The 14,071-nt window shown below is 49.8% G+C and overlaps 1 protein-coding gene across 48 annotated transcripts in view, besides 4 other annotated features; it reads left to right on the top strand.

Moving 5' to 3' along the window:
* The window catches only part of TACC2 (transforming acidic coiled-coil containing protein 2), a 265,380-nt gene that overhangs the window by 60,718 nt on the left and 190,591 nt on the right, over window positions 1-14,071 (top strand). For all 48 annotated transcript variants that reach the window (NM_001291877.2, NM_206862.4, NM_001438366.1 and 45 more), the window contains one exon: window positions 558-670. In NM_001291877.2, the coding sequence (NP_001278806.2) occupies window positions 558-670 (113 nt within the window). The remainder of the gene's footprint in view (window positions 1-557; window positions 671-14,071) is intronic.
* Window positions 4,834-5,128: an enhancer, noted in NCBI's record as "tiled region #10515; HepG2 Activating DNase matched - State 5:Enh". NCBI's record gives its function as "activates a minimal TATA promoter and a strong SV40 promoter by Sharpr-MPRA in HepG2 cells {active_cell/tissue: HepG2}" and the evidence as "EXISTENCE:reporter gene assay evidence [ECO:0000049][PMID:27701403]".
* Window positions 13,354-13,648: an enhancer, noted in NCBI's record as "tiled region #8460; HepG2 Activating DNase unmatched - State 5:Enh, and K562 Activating DNase unmatched - State 5:Enh". NCBI's record gives its function as "activates a minimal TATA promoter and a strong SV40 promoter by Sharpr-MPRA in HepG2 and K562 cells {active_cell/tissue: HepG2 | K562}" and the evidence as "EXISTENCE:reporter gene assay evidence [ECO:0000049][PMID:27701403]".
* Window positions 13,354-13,668: a biological region, named in NCBI's record as "Sharpr-MPRA regulatory regions 8460 and 2354".
* Window positions 13,374-13,668: an enhancer, noted in NCBI's record as "tiled region #2354; HepG2 Activating DNase matched - State 5:Enh, and K562 Activating DNase unmatched - State 5:Enh". NCBI's record gives its function as "activates a minimal TATA promoter and a strong SV40 promoter by Sharpr-MPRA in HepG2 and K562 cells {active_cell/tissue: HepG2 | K562}" and the evidence as "EXISTENCE:reporter gene assay evidence [ECO:0000049][PMID:27701403]".

Consider the following 14,071-nt stretch of genomic DNA (forward strand, 5'->3'; position numbering starts at 1 on the left):
AAGCTTATCCTGGAGTGAAAGAAAAGGTGACCAACTCTCAGAGTGGTTAGGATCCCAAGTGGTTGGGTCCAGATTTCTAAGCGTTCATGGTTTTCTTCTTCCGGTTAGTTTTTTTCCCTAGGTTTCCAGCTGAATTCTGGTATGTGAAGCCATCGGTGGTGGCGGGAGGAAAATGTGTTTTCATCTCAGGAGTGCCACAAACAAATTGGACACTTTCAAGTCTTAGTTTAAATGCTCCACTTCTCCTAGGGAGCAAGTGACCCCAAAGTGTGGTAGGTGTCCCCAGTTTTGGTTTTTCTACTAAAGCATTCAGTTGGAACTGCTTGTTTGACTTTGTTTCTTCCCCACTGGATGAGAGCAGCAGCCACCTTTGCTTCGCTGCCATATATCCTCAAGGCCTAGCTCAGTGCCGCACATAGTAGGTGTTTCGTTGGACGGCAGAGCAAGTGAACAACCTTACCTTGAATGCTGTGGTGGGTGCCCTGTTGATAAATGTTTTTGTGTTTTCAGAGACTCCTATCTGATTTCCTTTCCAATTTCTTTTTCTCCTGGCTCAGAGGACTTTATCAGCTCAGACTCCAAGGTCCGCGCAGCCACCCGGGAACAGTCAGAATATAAAAAGGAAGCAGCAGGACACGCCCGGAAGCCCTGACCACAGAGACGCGTCCAGGTAGGAGGCCAGCTCTGGAGGACTGATGCAGCCCAAGGACTGCCCCGCTCATTGCCTGCTCCAGCATTAGCTTTGCCCCATTTGCTTTGGAAACTGGACCCTTAGACACATGGTATCGTCCTCAGTGGTGAGATGTTCCAAGCAGTGGTTCACAGACCTCTCTGTGACTGGCTAGGCCTGCATGATTGAAAAATTCATCCTGATTGCCTGCCCAAAGATGAAATTAGTAATTATAGACTTCCATTCCAGCCACACTCCAGAGTATCTTCATTGTCAGAACTTAAAATGGAAAACATCAAGGGTTCCCAGGGGTTTATCAGTGTCTAATCCGTGGCTAAGTGGAGTCTGTAACTCAGTGTGGTGGCCATTGCGGGCACTGGACCATGAAACAGAGGACTGAGAACACAATTACCAAAGCCACCCAAGCCCTTTGTCCCAGGGAGGCTGGTGGATGAATCCCAGAAACCAACTGTGGCAGTGGGATGTGGCCAGTGCGGGGGTGGCCCATCAGTCACTTCCTTTTTTTTGAGATGGAGTCTCATCCAGGCTGGAGTGCAGTGGCACGGTCTCGGCTCATTGCAACCTCTACCTCGTGGGTTCAAGCGATTCTCCTGCTTCAGCTTTCCGAATAGCTGGGATTACAGGAGCCCGCCACCATGCCCAGCCATTTTTTGTATTTTTAGTAGAGACGGGATTTCACCATATTGGCCAGGCTGGTCTCTAACTCCTGACCTCAGGTGATCCACCCGCCTCAGCTTCCCAAAGTGCTGGATTATAGGTGTGAGCCACCATGCCTGGCTGGTCACTGGCTCTTGTTATGAGCCACAGCCAGGCCCTAGGGCTCCCTGCCGGGGCTCTCTCCTGGGCCTCTCCCCATGTTGGCCCCACACTCATAGTTTTAGGGGATACAAGCAGTAGTCCAGCAGACTCGAGCACCTGGTGTCCAGCATGGACACAGGCCAGGCACGCTGGGGGCACTTAATAACTGCTCGTGGGTTCAACTCGCAAACAGGCCATGGATTTGGTCAGAAAAACCCTGCAAAATTGGAGCCCAGCTCTCAGGAGTGTATCATGACAGGCCTTAAGGGAAGCAAATGAGCAGGAACTCTGTGGAACAAAAATGCAAAATGGAATGATAGGCCCCTGTCATAGACAATGCAACTTTGACTCACATGCTACTTCATAGCTTTGCAAAACCTTGAGACTCAAAGTGACTTTTTTTTTTTTTTTTTTTTTTTTTTTGCTTTGGGTAAGTCAGAGCAACCCCTGGTGGCAGGAATTTTCATGCCTGGGGCATGGAAGTGGGTGGCTTGGGCTATGTGGCTTTCCAGAGGAAGTACTTGGGGCATCTTGGCAGGAGCTTTGGATTTCTTTAGGGAAATGGCAATCAGATGGGGCAGAGTGTTTTTTGCTGAGGGAATCAGAATGATCCCTCAAACAGCACCTTTGATCTCTATTCTCTGCTAAAGATGGTGCTTCCTCTACTTCCCCAGACCCCCGTGTCTGTTCCATTTCCATGAATTTTTCATCAGGGTCACAGGACAAAGGTTTTAGTCTTTGGTTCTAATGAGACCTCTGACTTGGCTCTGGATGACTATGAAACTAGTGAATGCATTTGTCTTTTCTGGAATCCCACACAAGGGAAGCCACTGTGGCTGCTGAGGCCCAGGGTCCAGCTCTTCTCTTTCCCTCTTGGTGAGGTCCTGGGATCTCCTGAGGCCTGGGAATTGCTCGAGGCCTGTGTCACAGCTGGACTGAAGAGTAGCAGCAGCTCAAATGTCTTTTGTTGCTTGTTCCCCAGCTTTAGTCAATTATTATTTTTCCCTTGAAGAATTGCCTCTCGTTGGCATGCAAATTGAGCATAAAAGAGGTGCCCGTAATCCCAGCACTTTGGGAGGCCGAGGTGGGTGGATCACGAGGTCAGGAGATCCAGACCACCCTGGCCAACATGGTGAAGCCCCGTCTCTACTAAAAATACAAAAATTAGCCAGGCGTGGTGGCGTGTGCCTGTAGTCCCAGCTACCCAGGAGGCTGAGGCAGGAGAATCGCTTGAACTCAGGAGGTGGAGGTTGCAGTGAGCCGAGATCGTACCACTGCGCTCCAGCCTGGGCGACAGAGTGAGACTACGCCTCAAAAAAAAAAAAAAAACAAACAGGTGCCTTCCAAGAACACACTCAAAAAAGCAGCTTCCTGTTCACAATTAAAAACATGATTCTCCTCTATAAATGTGTGTGTGTCTATAGTGCAGGGCCCTGTACTAACTCAGAAACCATCTATCGAGAAGGAACAGGCCCTCCTACTCTGCAAGGGCTGACAGTGAGTCCATCGCTCCTGACGGAGCAGGGCTCCTGTGTGCGGTTTCAGTGAGTCACCTGTCCTTGGCGTCACCAACAAGGATAAAGAGCATTTATCATTCATTTTGCATATGGGTTCCAGACACTATGCCAAATGCTCTGTGTGTGCAATAGATCATTGCATTTTTTTTAAAACCTATTCGGTTCTGATCCTGAGTCCTTACCTGCCAGGCTGGTGGGTATGCCAAGTGTATTAGTCCGTTTTCACACTGCTGATAAAGATATACCCAAGACTGGGCAATTTACAAAGAAAAGAGGCTTAATGAAGAACTTACAGTTCCACGTGGCTGGGGAAGCCTCACAATCACGGTGGAAGGCAAGGAGGAGCAAGTCACATCTTATGTGGATAGCAGCAGGTAAAGAGAAGAGAGCTTGTGCAGGGAAACTCCCGTTTTTAAAACCATCAGATCTCGTGAGACCCACTCCCTATCATGAGAACAGCTTGGGAAAGACCAGCCCCCATGATTCAGTCACCCCCCCAGGTCCCTCCCGCAACACGTGGGAATTCAAGATGAGATTTGGGTGGGGACACAGCCAAACCATTATCACCCAGGGCAGCCATCCTTGGGACTTCTCTCTCCAGAGCCTGGTGCATTGAGACCATCATCCATTCCCTCCCCAACCCCAGCACCTTCCCTGTGATGCCAGTGACCACACTGCCCCTCAGGCTGAGGGACTGTGCTGCTTCTCCACAACCGTAGGCAGGAGGAAATCTTTGGCGAGGCTTTGGGAGCCCATGACCGCTTCCTCGAGCACCCTCCCTGCTCATTCCCCTCTGAACCAGAGGACACGGTCTGGAAGTAGAGAGGGACTCTCAGAGGTTCCCCACTGTTCAGGGCCCTTTCTCTCCACTCTCAGGCGCATTGGCCTTGAGGCATCTGTCCCTTGGCCTCATTGGACAACCAGCATTTTCTCTTCAAAGGATGTAAGTTTTTACAAAAGGTGGGAAGACGCATTGACCTGCAACTCTTTCTGTTTTCTACTTGGAAAAATCCAGAGGCAAAAAACACAGAAGGGCCTGCAGTGGCCACCTGCTGGGCATGGAGCGAGGGAAGAATATAGGCAGAATGCGTGTGTGAATATTCCCAAAGATGGTCCCTCTGCTCAGGCATCATCTCCACTCTACAGATGAGGAAACTGAGGCTTGCAGCATGATGTAATCTACCTTAGAGGTAGAAAGTCCATTGTTTCTCCTCGAGGCTCTTCCCTCCCTCTGAATTATGCTAGAACATGGGGTTTACTCATCCCCAAAGTTCTTCAATAGGAAGAGTGGGGTCCCATCAATTCGACTGTCTTGCTTTTCTGGTTGCCACGTGGTGGCGCTGTTGTAACTTAGCCCAGCGTAGTTCAACCATCCAGAGTCTGGGACATGCCTCCCTGATGACCATCCCTGCACAGGCCCCTGGGTTCTTGAGGGAGAATGATCCTAGCCTCCTAGGGTGAAGCTTAACCCCAGTAGCATCTCTTTCTGCTCAGCAGTGTCCATGCCAGTACAGCTGATGTAGCAGTACAGCTGATTAGCAGTCTGGACTGGTCCCTGGTCCGCCCTTCTTGGATATCATCAACCAGGGACTGAGCAGCTTTTTCCTTTTAGATCCTTAAGACACAACTGATTTTATCTTACAACCTTTTGCCAGATAATGGAGCTATTAATATTAGGTTGTACCAGAGGAAATTACCATTTAGTTAGGTCAAAAATTGTTGGTCATTGGCCATTTCCTGTGCTTCCATTTCCTGTGCTCCTTCTTCTGAAAAAGGTCAAGGGCAGTGTTTCGAGATGACCGGCTTTTCTCAGGGAGTGAGAATCAGGCAGGGAGTGACCTTGAGTGATTTCTAGCTGAATTCCCGGCGCCTTTGGTTTCTGACCACAGTGCTTAGGCTCCCAGGCAATGGTAATTGACACAAGACCAAACAGATCTCCCAAACAAGGCTTTGTGAGGGGCTTATGTTTGAACACAAGGGAGAGAGCGCTGGAGCAAAGTTCTCCGGCTGGCTCCCCGAGGACAGGTCTTTTTGGTGTTTTAAGAAGGGTGGGCAGGGCATGGTGGCTCACGTCTGTAATCCCAGCACTGTGGGAGGCCGATGTGGGTGGATTGCCTGAGCTCAGAAGTTAGGGACCAGCCCGGGCAACACAGTGAAACCTCATCTCTACTAAAATGCAAAAATTTAGCTGGGTGTAGCGGCATGCATCTGTAGTCCCAGCTACTCTGGAGGCTGAGGCAGGAGAATTGCTTGAACCCAGGAGGTGGAGGTTGCAGTGAGCTGAGATTGCACCACTGCACTCCAGCCTGGGTGACAGAGCAAGACGCCGTCTCCCAAAAAAAAATAAAAAAAAAGTGAAGAAGGGTGACGTGAACAAGCATGAGGTATGGGAGCGTCGTTACACGTGTGGGGTAGAGCACAGAGTGCACAGGCACAGTGAAAAACATGTTAGGGCATATATTGCATGATCAAAAAATGGCAGATATGCAGCCATAAAAAAGAACGAGATCATGTCCTTTGCAGGGACATGGATGGAGCTGGAGGTCATTATCCTTGGTAAACTAACACAGGAACAGAAAAGCAAACACTGCATGTTCTCACTTATAAGGGGAGCTAACTGATGAGAACACATGGACACATAGAGGAGAACAACACATACTGGGGCCTATTGGAGGGAGGAGGCTGGGAGGAGGCACAGGATCAGGAATGATAACTAATGGGTACTAGGCTTAATACCTGGGTGATGAAATAATCTGTACAACACACCCCCATGACACGAGTTCACCTGTGTAACAAACCTGCACTTGTGCCCTTGAACGCAAAATAAAAGTTTATGAAACAAAACAAAACCCAAAAAATGGCAGATAAGCCCCACCTGGGTGGGAATTTTGGTATTACGATGAGCCAGTGGGTGAAGATGGGTCATTCTGGACTTGTGCGTATGCGGGCAATAGGGTTAACTTCCTTGAATAAGATGATGGTGGAATGCTGCTAACCTTAGCTTCTTCAAGGTCTCTTGGTCAGCGGGGATGGCACTGGATGGGGTATGCAAGGTCTAGTAGAATCCTGGTGGGGGCCAAGTCCCATCCATACCCTGTCTCACTTTGTCACTGAATGAAGGAGAGTGGAAACTCAACAGCCTGGAGTCTTAGCTGTTATCTGATGGTTCTCAAACTTGAGTGGGCACCAAGATCACCTGCAAGGCAGATTAAGACAGATTTCTAGGCTTCGCCTCTGGGGAGTCTGATGCAGCAGGTTTGTGGTGAGGCCTGTGAAGGGGCATTTCTTTTTCTTTTTCTGTTTTTGAGACAGAGTTTTACTCTTGTCGCCCAGGCTGGAGTGTAATGGTGCGATCTCAGCTCACTGCAACCTCCGCCTCCCGGGTTCTAGCGTTTCTCCTGCCTCAGCCTCCCAAGTAGCTGGGATTACAGGTGCCTGCCACCATGCCCGGCTAATTTTTGTATTTTTAGTAGAGATGGGGTTTCACCATGTTGGCCAGGCTGGTCTCGAACTCTTGACCTCAGGTGATCTGCCCACCTCAGCCTCCCAAAGTGCTGGGATTACAGGCGTGAGCCACTGCGCCCAGCCAGGAAGGAGCATTTCTAACAGGTTCCCAGGTATTAGTACTGCTGGTCCAGAGACCACACAATGAAGACTGCTGCATTCTGCCACGCGGCTGTGTGACCACCTCAGCCCAGTGCTGTTGGGGCTCAGAAGAAGCCTTCCCTGAGAGCTGGAGTGGACAAGGAGGGTCTCCTGGCAGGGGTGGAGGGAGCTTGAGTGAAAGGGGCAGACTCTAGAGGCCATTCCAGGCAGGGGCAGAATTCCTGAACTGGACCTCTCTAGGGCTGAGTAGGAAGTGAGTGCAGACCCAGGTGGTGACGTTCACTGAAAACAAGGTATGAGGAGTGGCGCCATGTTGAGGAGAATCTGTCAGTCAGGTGAGGGGTTGAGATTTTTTCCTGAAGGTAACTGGAAGCTAGGGAAGTGCTTTGTGGTTTGTTTGCTTTTAAACAAGGGCTGGGCTGGGCACAGTGACTCATGCCTATAATCCCAGCACTTTGGGAGGCCAAGGCCGGTGGATCATGTGAGGTCAAGAGTTTGAGACCAGCCTAGTCAACCTGGTGAAACTCCATCTCTACTAAAAATACAAAAATTAGCCTGGCATGGTGGCGCACACCTGTAGTTTCAGCTACCAGAGAGGCTAAGGCAGGAGAATCCCTTGAACCCAGGAGGCAGATGTTGCAGTGAGGTGAGATCATGCCACTGCACTTCAGCTGGGCAACAAGAGTGAGACTCCGTCTCAAACATAAAATAAAAATAAAATAAAATAAACAAGGGCTTATGCATGCCAGGAAAGTGTTCTGAAGATAAGGGTGAGGCACTGACTGGTGCACTGGAGGGGTGGAGGGTGCCGGCTGGAAGGGGCACTAGGGGATGTTGTTGTAGTAGAGGAATGGTGGCCAGAAGGAATCCCAAGGGAGAACCCACAGAACCCGGTGACTGCCTGGGTGTGGGCGGAAGAGGTGGAGTCAAAGAATGAGAAATAAAAGTAAAATCCTAAGCCCCCCATCCAGCTGAACAGACTCCCTCTTGGCCAAAGGGACCCTAAAGAAGCCTTAAAAACTAAGTTTGGCCGGGCACGGTGGCTCACGCCTCTAATCCCAGCACTTTGGGAGGCCGAGGCGGGCAGATCACCTGAGGTCGGGAGTTCGAGACCAGCCTGACCAACATGGAGAAACCCTGTCTCTACTAAAAATAAAAAATTAAAAAATTAAAAAAAATTAGCCAGGCATGGTGGTGGGCACCTGTAATCCCAGCTACTTGGGAGGCTGAGGCAGGGTTCAATCTGAGGCTTGAACCCAGGAGGTGGAGGTTGGGGTGAGCCAAGATCGAGCCATTGCACTCCAGCCTGGACAGCAAGAGTGAAACTCCGTCTCAAAAAAACAAAAACAAAAACTGAGTTTGGAGCCCTGAGAGGATGGAGGTCAGACAACCTTCCCGTACCTGCTCCCTCGCTAGATGATGTTAGACTTCTTTCCTAAGGGTTCAACAGAAACAAGCAAACCAGCCCTTTCGAAAGACTTGCTCCACCACTGGTTTCAGCTAGATCCCCTTCCCTTTTGTGGTTTCCACACAACAACTGACCAGCATTCCTTCCACACAAGAGACCACCCACCATGGAGTGGTTCAGCACCCTGAGTGCCTTCGCACCCTCTGCGTCACCTTTTAATGTATAAAGCCTAATTTTAGCGCATTTAAATGTTGTCTACACCACAAAGTGAGCATGGGGTGTAACATGTCCATTTGCTTACTATGCATGCACGCCCCTCTTCATGAATACTCATAGCTCTTCCTATAATCTGTTGAATGTGTCTACTTCGCCTGTTCAGCATAAATTCCAGTCTCAAACTTCCCTACCTCAAGTGCCTGCTTCCGGCTTCCGCTGCAAAGCGCGGAAGCGCTTCTGTCACTTCCCAGCCTGCGGGATGGATGGCCAGCCTGCAGGCTGCAACCCTTTATTATATATTTATTTATTTAGAGACGGAGTCTCACTCTGTCGCCAGACAGGAGTGCAGTGGCGCGATCTTGGCTCACTGCAACCTCCACCTCCCGGGTTCAAGTGATTCTCCTGCCTCAGCCTCCCAAGTACCTGGGACTACAGGTGCGAAGCACCATGCCCAACTAATTTTTGTATTTTTAGTAGAGACGGGGTTTCACCATGTTGGCCAGAATGGTCTCTATCTCTTGACCTTGTGATTCACCTGCCTCGGCCTCCCAAAGTGCTGGGATTTGCAGGCATGAGCCACCGTGCCTGGCCACTGCAACTCTTTATAAGAAATAAGCTTTCCTCCCCAAATTTATGAACCTCATGATTCTTCAGTTGACAAGAAGATGCTAAGGTTCTGGATCAAGAACCCAAAAGAAAGATCCAACATTAAACACTGGGACATCTAAAGTGAGAGCTAGGCCATGCGTGAGCCACTGAGCCCAGCCCCCTCTGTGTGTTTTTTTTTTTTTTTGAGACACGGTTTCGTTTTTGGTGTCCATGATGGAGTGCAGTGGCGCAATCTCGGCTCACTGCAACCTCCACCTCCCGGGTTCAAGCCATTCTCCTGCCTCAGCCTCCTGAGTAGCTGGGATTACAGGCGCCTGCCACTACGCCTGGCTAATTTGTTGTTGTTGTTGTTGTTGTTGTTGTTGTATTTTTAGTAGAGACGGGGTTTCACCATGTTGGTCAGGCTGGTCTCGAACTCCTGACCTTGTGATCCGCCCGCCTCAGCCTCCCAAAGTGCTGGGATTATAGGCGTGAGCCACCACACCCGGGCTCCATCTGTGTTTTTAATAAGCACCCCAGGTGATTCTTCTGAGGAGGGAAATTTAAGGAATGGTGAGCTATTGCCAGGACCAGTTTATCAGAATTGACTGGGATATCAGTTAAAGTACCCGTTTCCTGAACACCCCCCTCCCCCCTTGAAGAGTCTGAGCCAGTAGATTTGGGATGAGACCCCTAAATCTGTGTTTGTAATAAGAATCCCATGAGATTCTCATGAGAAAGCAAGTTTGGGAGACACTGACCAGGGTTTACCCCCAGGCCAATAAGGATAGCTAACTTTTGTTTGCGCTTTGGATAATTCGCATACAGACTCATGCCCCCTCTCCTGTTCTCTCCTCTTTTTTTTTTCCAACATATATTTACTGGGCAGCCATTCTGTGCCTGCTCCTGCACTAGGTGGTGAGGATGCAGCTGGCAGCACGCACCATGGGAGCTCTGCTCCGGTGGGTAAATACACTGTAGTTAAGGAGTTAGACATTGAGCAAGGAAACAAATAGAACAGAGACACTTTTGGGTGGTGTGGAGGCTCTGAAAGGTACCCAGCAGGGTGTCAAGCTAGAGAGTAACAGGGAAAGTGGCTACTTTAGATTAGACCTGCCATTCTCAAAGTGGGGTTCTGGCCCAGTGGTCTCAGCATCACCTGGGAATTTGTTAAAAATGCAAAGCTTTGACCCCACTCCCACTCACTGAACTAGAAACTCAGGGTGGGGCCTAGTGATGTGTGTTTTAACAAGCCCAGGGATCTGGCACTCCTAAGGTTTGAGAACCACTGGATTAGATGGCCAGAGAAGGAGGTGATACAGGAACTGCGTCTGGAATGACAAAAAGGCAGACATGGAAGACCTAGGGGACCAGGCATTCCAGGTGGAGGGACAGGCCTTGCAAAGGGCTTAAGGAGGAAGAATTCCCTGCTTTAGAGGAATGGGTGACCATTGAGGCAGTGAGAGATGGCGAGGTGGGCAGGGGCCTGATCAGCCAAGCCTGGACCCTGAAGGCCATGGTGAGGAACTTGGATTTCCTTCTGGTGCTGGGGATGCAAGCAAGACTGGGGCCAGGCGGTCAAAGAAGGGGCCCAGGTAGAGCCCCAGGCAGAGCCCCAGGCAAATCCCCAAGCAAGATGTGGTACCTGGAACTAGGGCAGGGTTTCTCAAGCTCGTTTTTATTGCCACTCACTCCTGGCTGCCTGCAAGGAAGTTAGAGACATTTATTCCTCATTGCCTTTCCCTCTCCAAGAAAGTTCAATACCACAGGAATGCTGTATATGTTTCTGTGCTATGGCCTTTGAGGCCACAGACTATTGTACTATCTAAGGCTCTTTTCACCTCTCAAGAACCAATTTTCACCCCACCTAGGGATGGTCTTGGCCCATTGAGAGTGCATGGACTGAGATACCAGTGAAGGTGGAGAAAATGTGAGCAGCTTTCCATATTTTGGATATAGTGGAGCTAGAGATGCCAGGACTTGCTGATAGACTGGCTTTAGAAGGAAAAAGAAAAAGAGGCCAGGTGCGGTGGCTCATGTCTGTAATCCCAGCACTTTGGGAGGCCAAGGTGGGCGGATCACCTGAGGTCAGGAGTTTGAGACCAGCCTGGCCAACATGGCGAAACTCTGTCTCTACTAAAAACACAGAAATTAGCCGGGCGTGGTGGCGCATGCCTGTAATCCCAGCTACTCGGGAGGCTGAGGCAGGAGAATCACTTGAACCCTGCAGGTGGAGGTTGCAGTGAGCGAAGATCATGTCACTGCACTCCAGCCTGGGCAACAGAGACTCCATCTCAAAAAAAAAAAAAAAAAAAGGGGGGGGGGCCAGGCACGGTGGCTCACACCTGTAATCCCAGCACTCTGGGAGGCCGAGGCGGGCAGATCACGAGGTCAGGAAATCGAGACCATCCTGGCTAACACGGTGAAACCCCATCTCTACTAAAAATGCAAAAAAAATTAGCCGGGCGTGGTGGCAGGTGCCTGTAGTCCCAGCTGCTTGGGAGGCTGAGGCAGCAGAATGGCGTGAACCCGGGAGGCGGAGCTTGCAGTGAGCCGAGATGGCGCCACTGCACTCCGTCTCAAAAAAAAAAAAAAAAAAAAAGGAGGGAGAAAAGAATCGAGGAAGATTCCTGAAGCTTTGGCTTGAGTGACTGGGCAGGTGGGACCATATGCTGAGATGTGAAAAGCACTAAGGTCAGGTGTGTCTGCCGAGTTCCACGGCCACAGACCTGGGCTCCAGGAGGAAATCCTACGGGTGCCAGGTGAAGCTGTCAGGACAAAGTGCCGACTATCACAGACCCGGGCTTGTGCTGGGGGAATCCCAGGAAGGCCTGGCATCTTTGAGAGAAAAGCAGAGTTCTCCTTTCTGCTTCAGGGACAGCTCATTTCCTGCTCCATGCCCAGCTCCTTAGCACCCCAGCCTTTTTAGGGGGTCGGTGTCTTAGTCCATTTAATCAACACGGGCCCACTACACACTACAGGTCAAGCTCTGGGCTGGACCAGAGGCACGAAGATGAGCAAGATGTCCAGTCCAGTCTAGAGAAACGCATGCAAATGAATAATTCTAGAACAAGCTAAATGCCCTAGGTGGGGTCTCTGGGAGCACAGGGGCGGGGAGAGAGGGGCTGGCTCTGCTGGGGAGAACCAGGAGAGGTCTCCAGGGGAGGTTTCTTGGGGCTAGGTCTTCAAAACTGAGTAGAAGTAGAGGGTTATGGGGAAAAGACAGTCCCAGGCAGAGAACAGCTGTCCCTATCGTAGATCCACAGGAAACAGAATTTTAGAAGGACTAGACACATAAACTTTAGGACATGTCAGAGCGGCTTTTTTTTTTTTTTTTTTTTTTTTTGAGACGGAGTCTCGCTCTGTCACCCAGGCTGGAGTGCAGTGGCACCATCTCCGCTCACTGCAAGCTCCGCCTCCCTGGGTTCACTCCATTCTCTGCCTCAGCCTCCTGAGTAGCTGGGACTACAGGTGCCCGCCACCACGCCTGGCTAATTTTTTGTATTTTTTAGTAGAGACGGGGTTTTACTGTGTTAGCCAGGATGGTCTCAATCTCCTGACCTTGTGATCTGCCCGCCTCGGCCTCCCAAAGTGCTGGGATTACAGGCGTGAGCCACCACGCCTGGAGTTTCACTCTTGTTGCCCAGTCTGGAGTACAATGACGCCATCTTGGCTAACCACAACCTCCACCTCCCGGGTTCAAGTGATTCTGCCTCGGCCTCCGGAGTAGCTGGGATTACAGGCATGCGCCACCACGTCCGGCTAATTTTGAATTTTTTTTTTTTTTTTAGTAGAGACAGGGTTTCTCCATATTGGTCAGGCTGGTCTCGAACTCCCGACCTTAGGTGATCCACCTGCCTCGGCCTCCCAAAGTGCTGGGATTACAAGCATGAGCTACTGTGCCAGGCCCAGAGCTTCTTTACATCTGGGAGATAGGAGGTGTAGCATAATATTAAGCTCAACCTCTTGGCTTTTTCAGAAGACAAACTCCTAGTTAGAACAAAAACATCTTTGGTGTGGATAGCAGCAACTATGGGGAAGGGTTTAGAAAGATGGTTTGAAAAAATGAACTAAATGGGCTTTAAATGGAAGGCCAGGATGTTTCTTACTCCTCCGTTTCACTGTCATTTGTGGAATCGGTCTGCTGCAGGCTGGGCATTGGGCCTAGGGCTACACACATCACCTCACCCGGCAGCTCTGTGTGGATGGCTGTAGATGACCCAAGGGGGCCTTATGAGGAAATCAGGGCTCAGAGAGGTTAAGGAACTTGTTCTAGGTCACACAGACAGAATGTGGCAGGGCGGGGACTAGAACCGAGGCTGGTTTGATCCACCTGAAACCCAGACTCGTAACTGACTCTCACAGGTGTCTGAAGTGTTTGTGTTCTGGTCTCCATATTAGAAAGTGAACCTTGGTCAATCCTTAACATTTAGTTTTCCTATAAACAGGGTCAGTTCTTAGCAGAAAAAAGAAAAATCAGAAAGATCTAAGCTGTGTTTTGCACATCGGCCCGGGCCAGCTCTTACAGACAGAGCCCTGTATTTCCCAGGCGGCCTGCTCTGTTCCTTCCAAACTTGGGAGGACTCTAAGATCAATTCCCAGGCTCCTGCCCAGCCAGGGTGTGTCGGGCAGAGCGCAGAGCAGCCTCCGCCCCTCCTTGTCCTGCTTCTGACTCATTATTTATCTTTGGCAGGAAGTAAACACAGAAAGGAGAGTGGGAGGGAGAGGAGGAGTGAGCTCCTGACTTTTGACGCTGGCTGAAAAGGAAGATCATGTGCTGAATTAGGTGTGTGTCTGTTTTCTGCTCCTCTGGTTTCAACAGAGCATTTGAGGCTTTAAACAACAGGGGAAGAGGAGTATTTTTCCATTAGGAGATAATACCCATTTATTGTAGCAACTTGGAACATAGCGAAGAGTGCAGAGTGGAGAGGAAAAAATCACCAATGCTCCTACCATATGCAGACAATGGCTTTCAAAATATTAGTGTTTTCCTCACACTCTTCTTTTTTCTAGTTCTTTTCTTTATTGATTGTGAGATAGCTATATTTTGTTAGGTGGTATATTAAGTGTGCATATATATTATAAAAACATATTCAAATTATATATTATACATATATATTATATAATACACACACACACACACACACACACACCCTTAAAGAAATGTGTGTGTGTGGTCAGGCGTGGTGGCTCACTCTTGTAACCCCAGCACTTTGGGAGGCCGAGGCAGGTGGATCACTTGAGGTC

Source organism: Homo sapiens, chromosome 10 (assembly GCF_000001405.40).
Source record: "Homo sapiens chromosome 10, GRCh38.p14 Primary Assembly".
Classification (NCBI taxonomy): domain Eukaryota; kingdom Metazoa; phylum Chordata; class Mammalia; order Primates; family Hominidae; genus Homo; species Homo sapiens.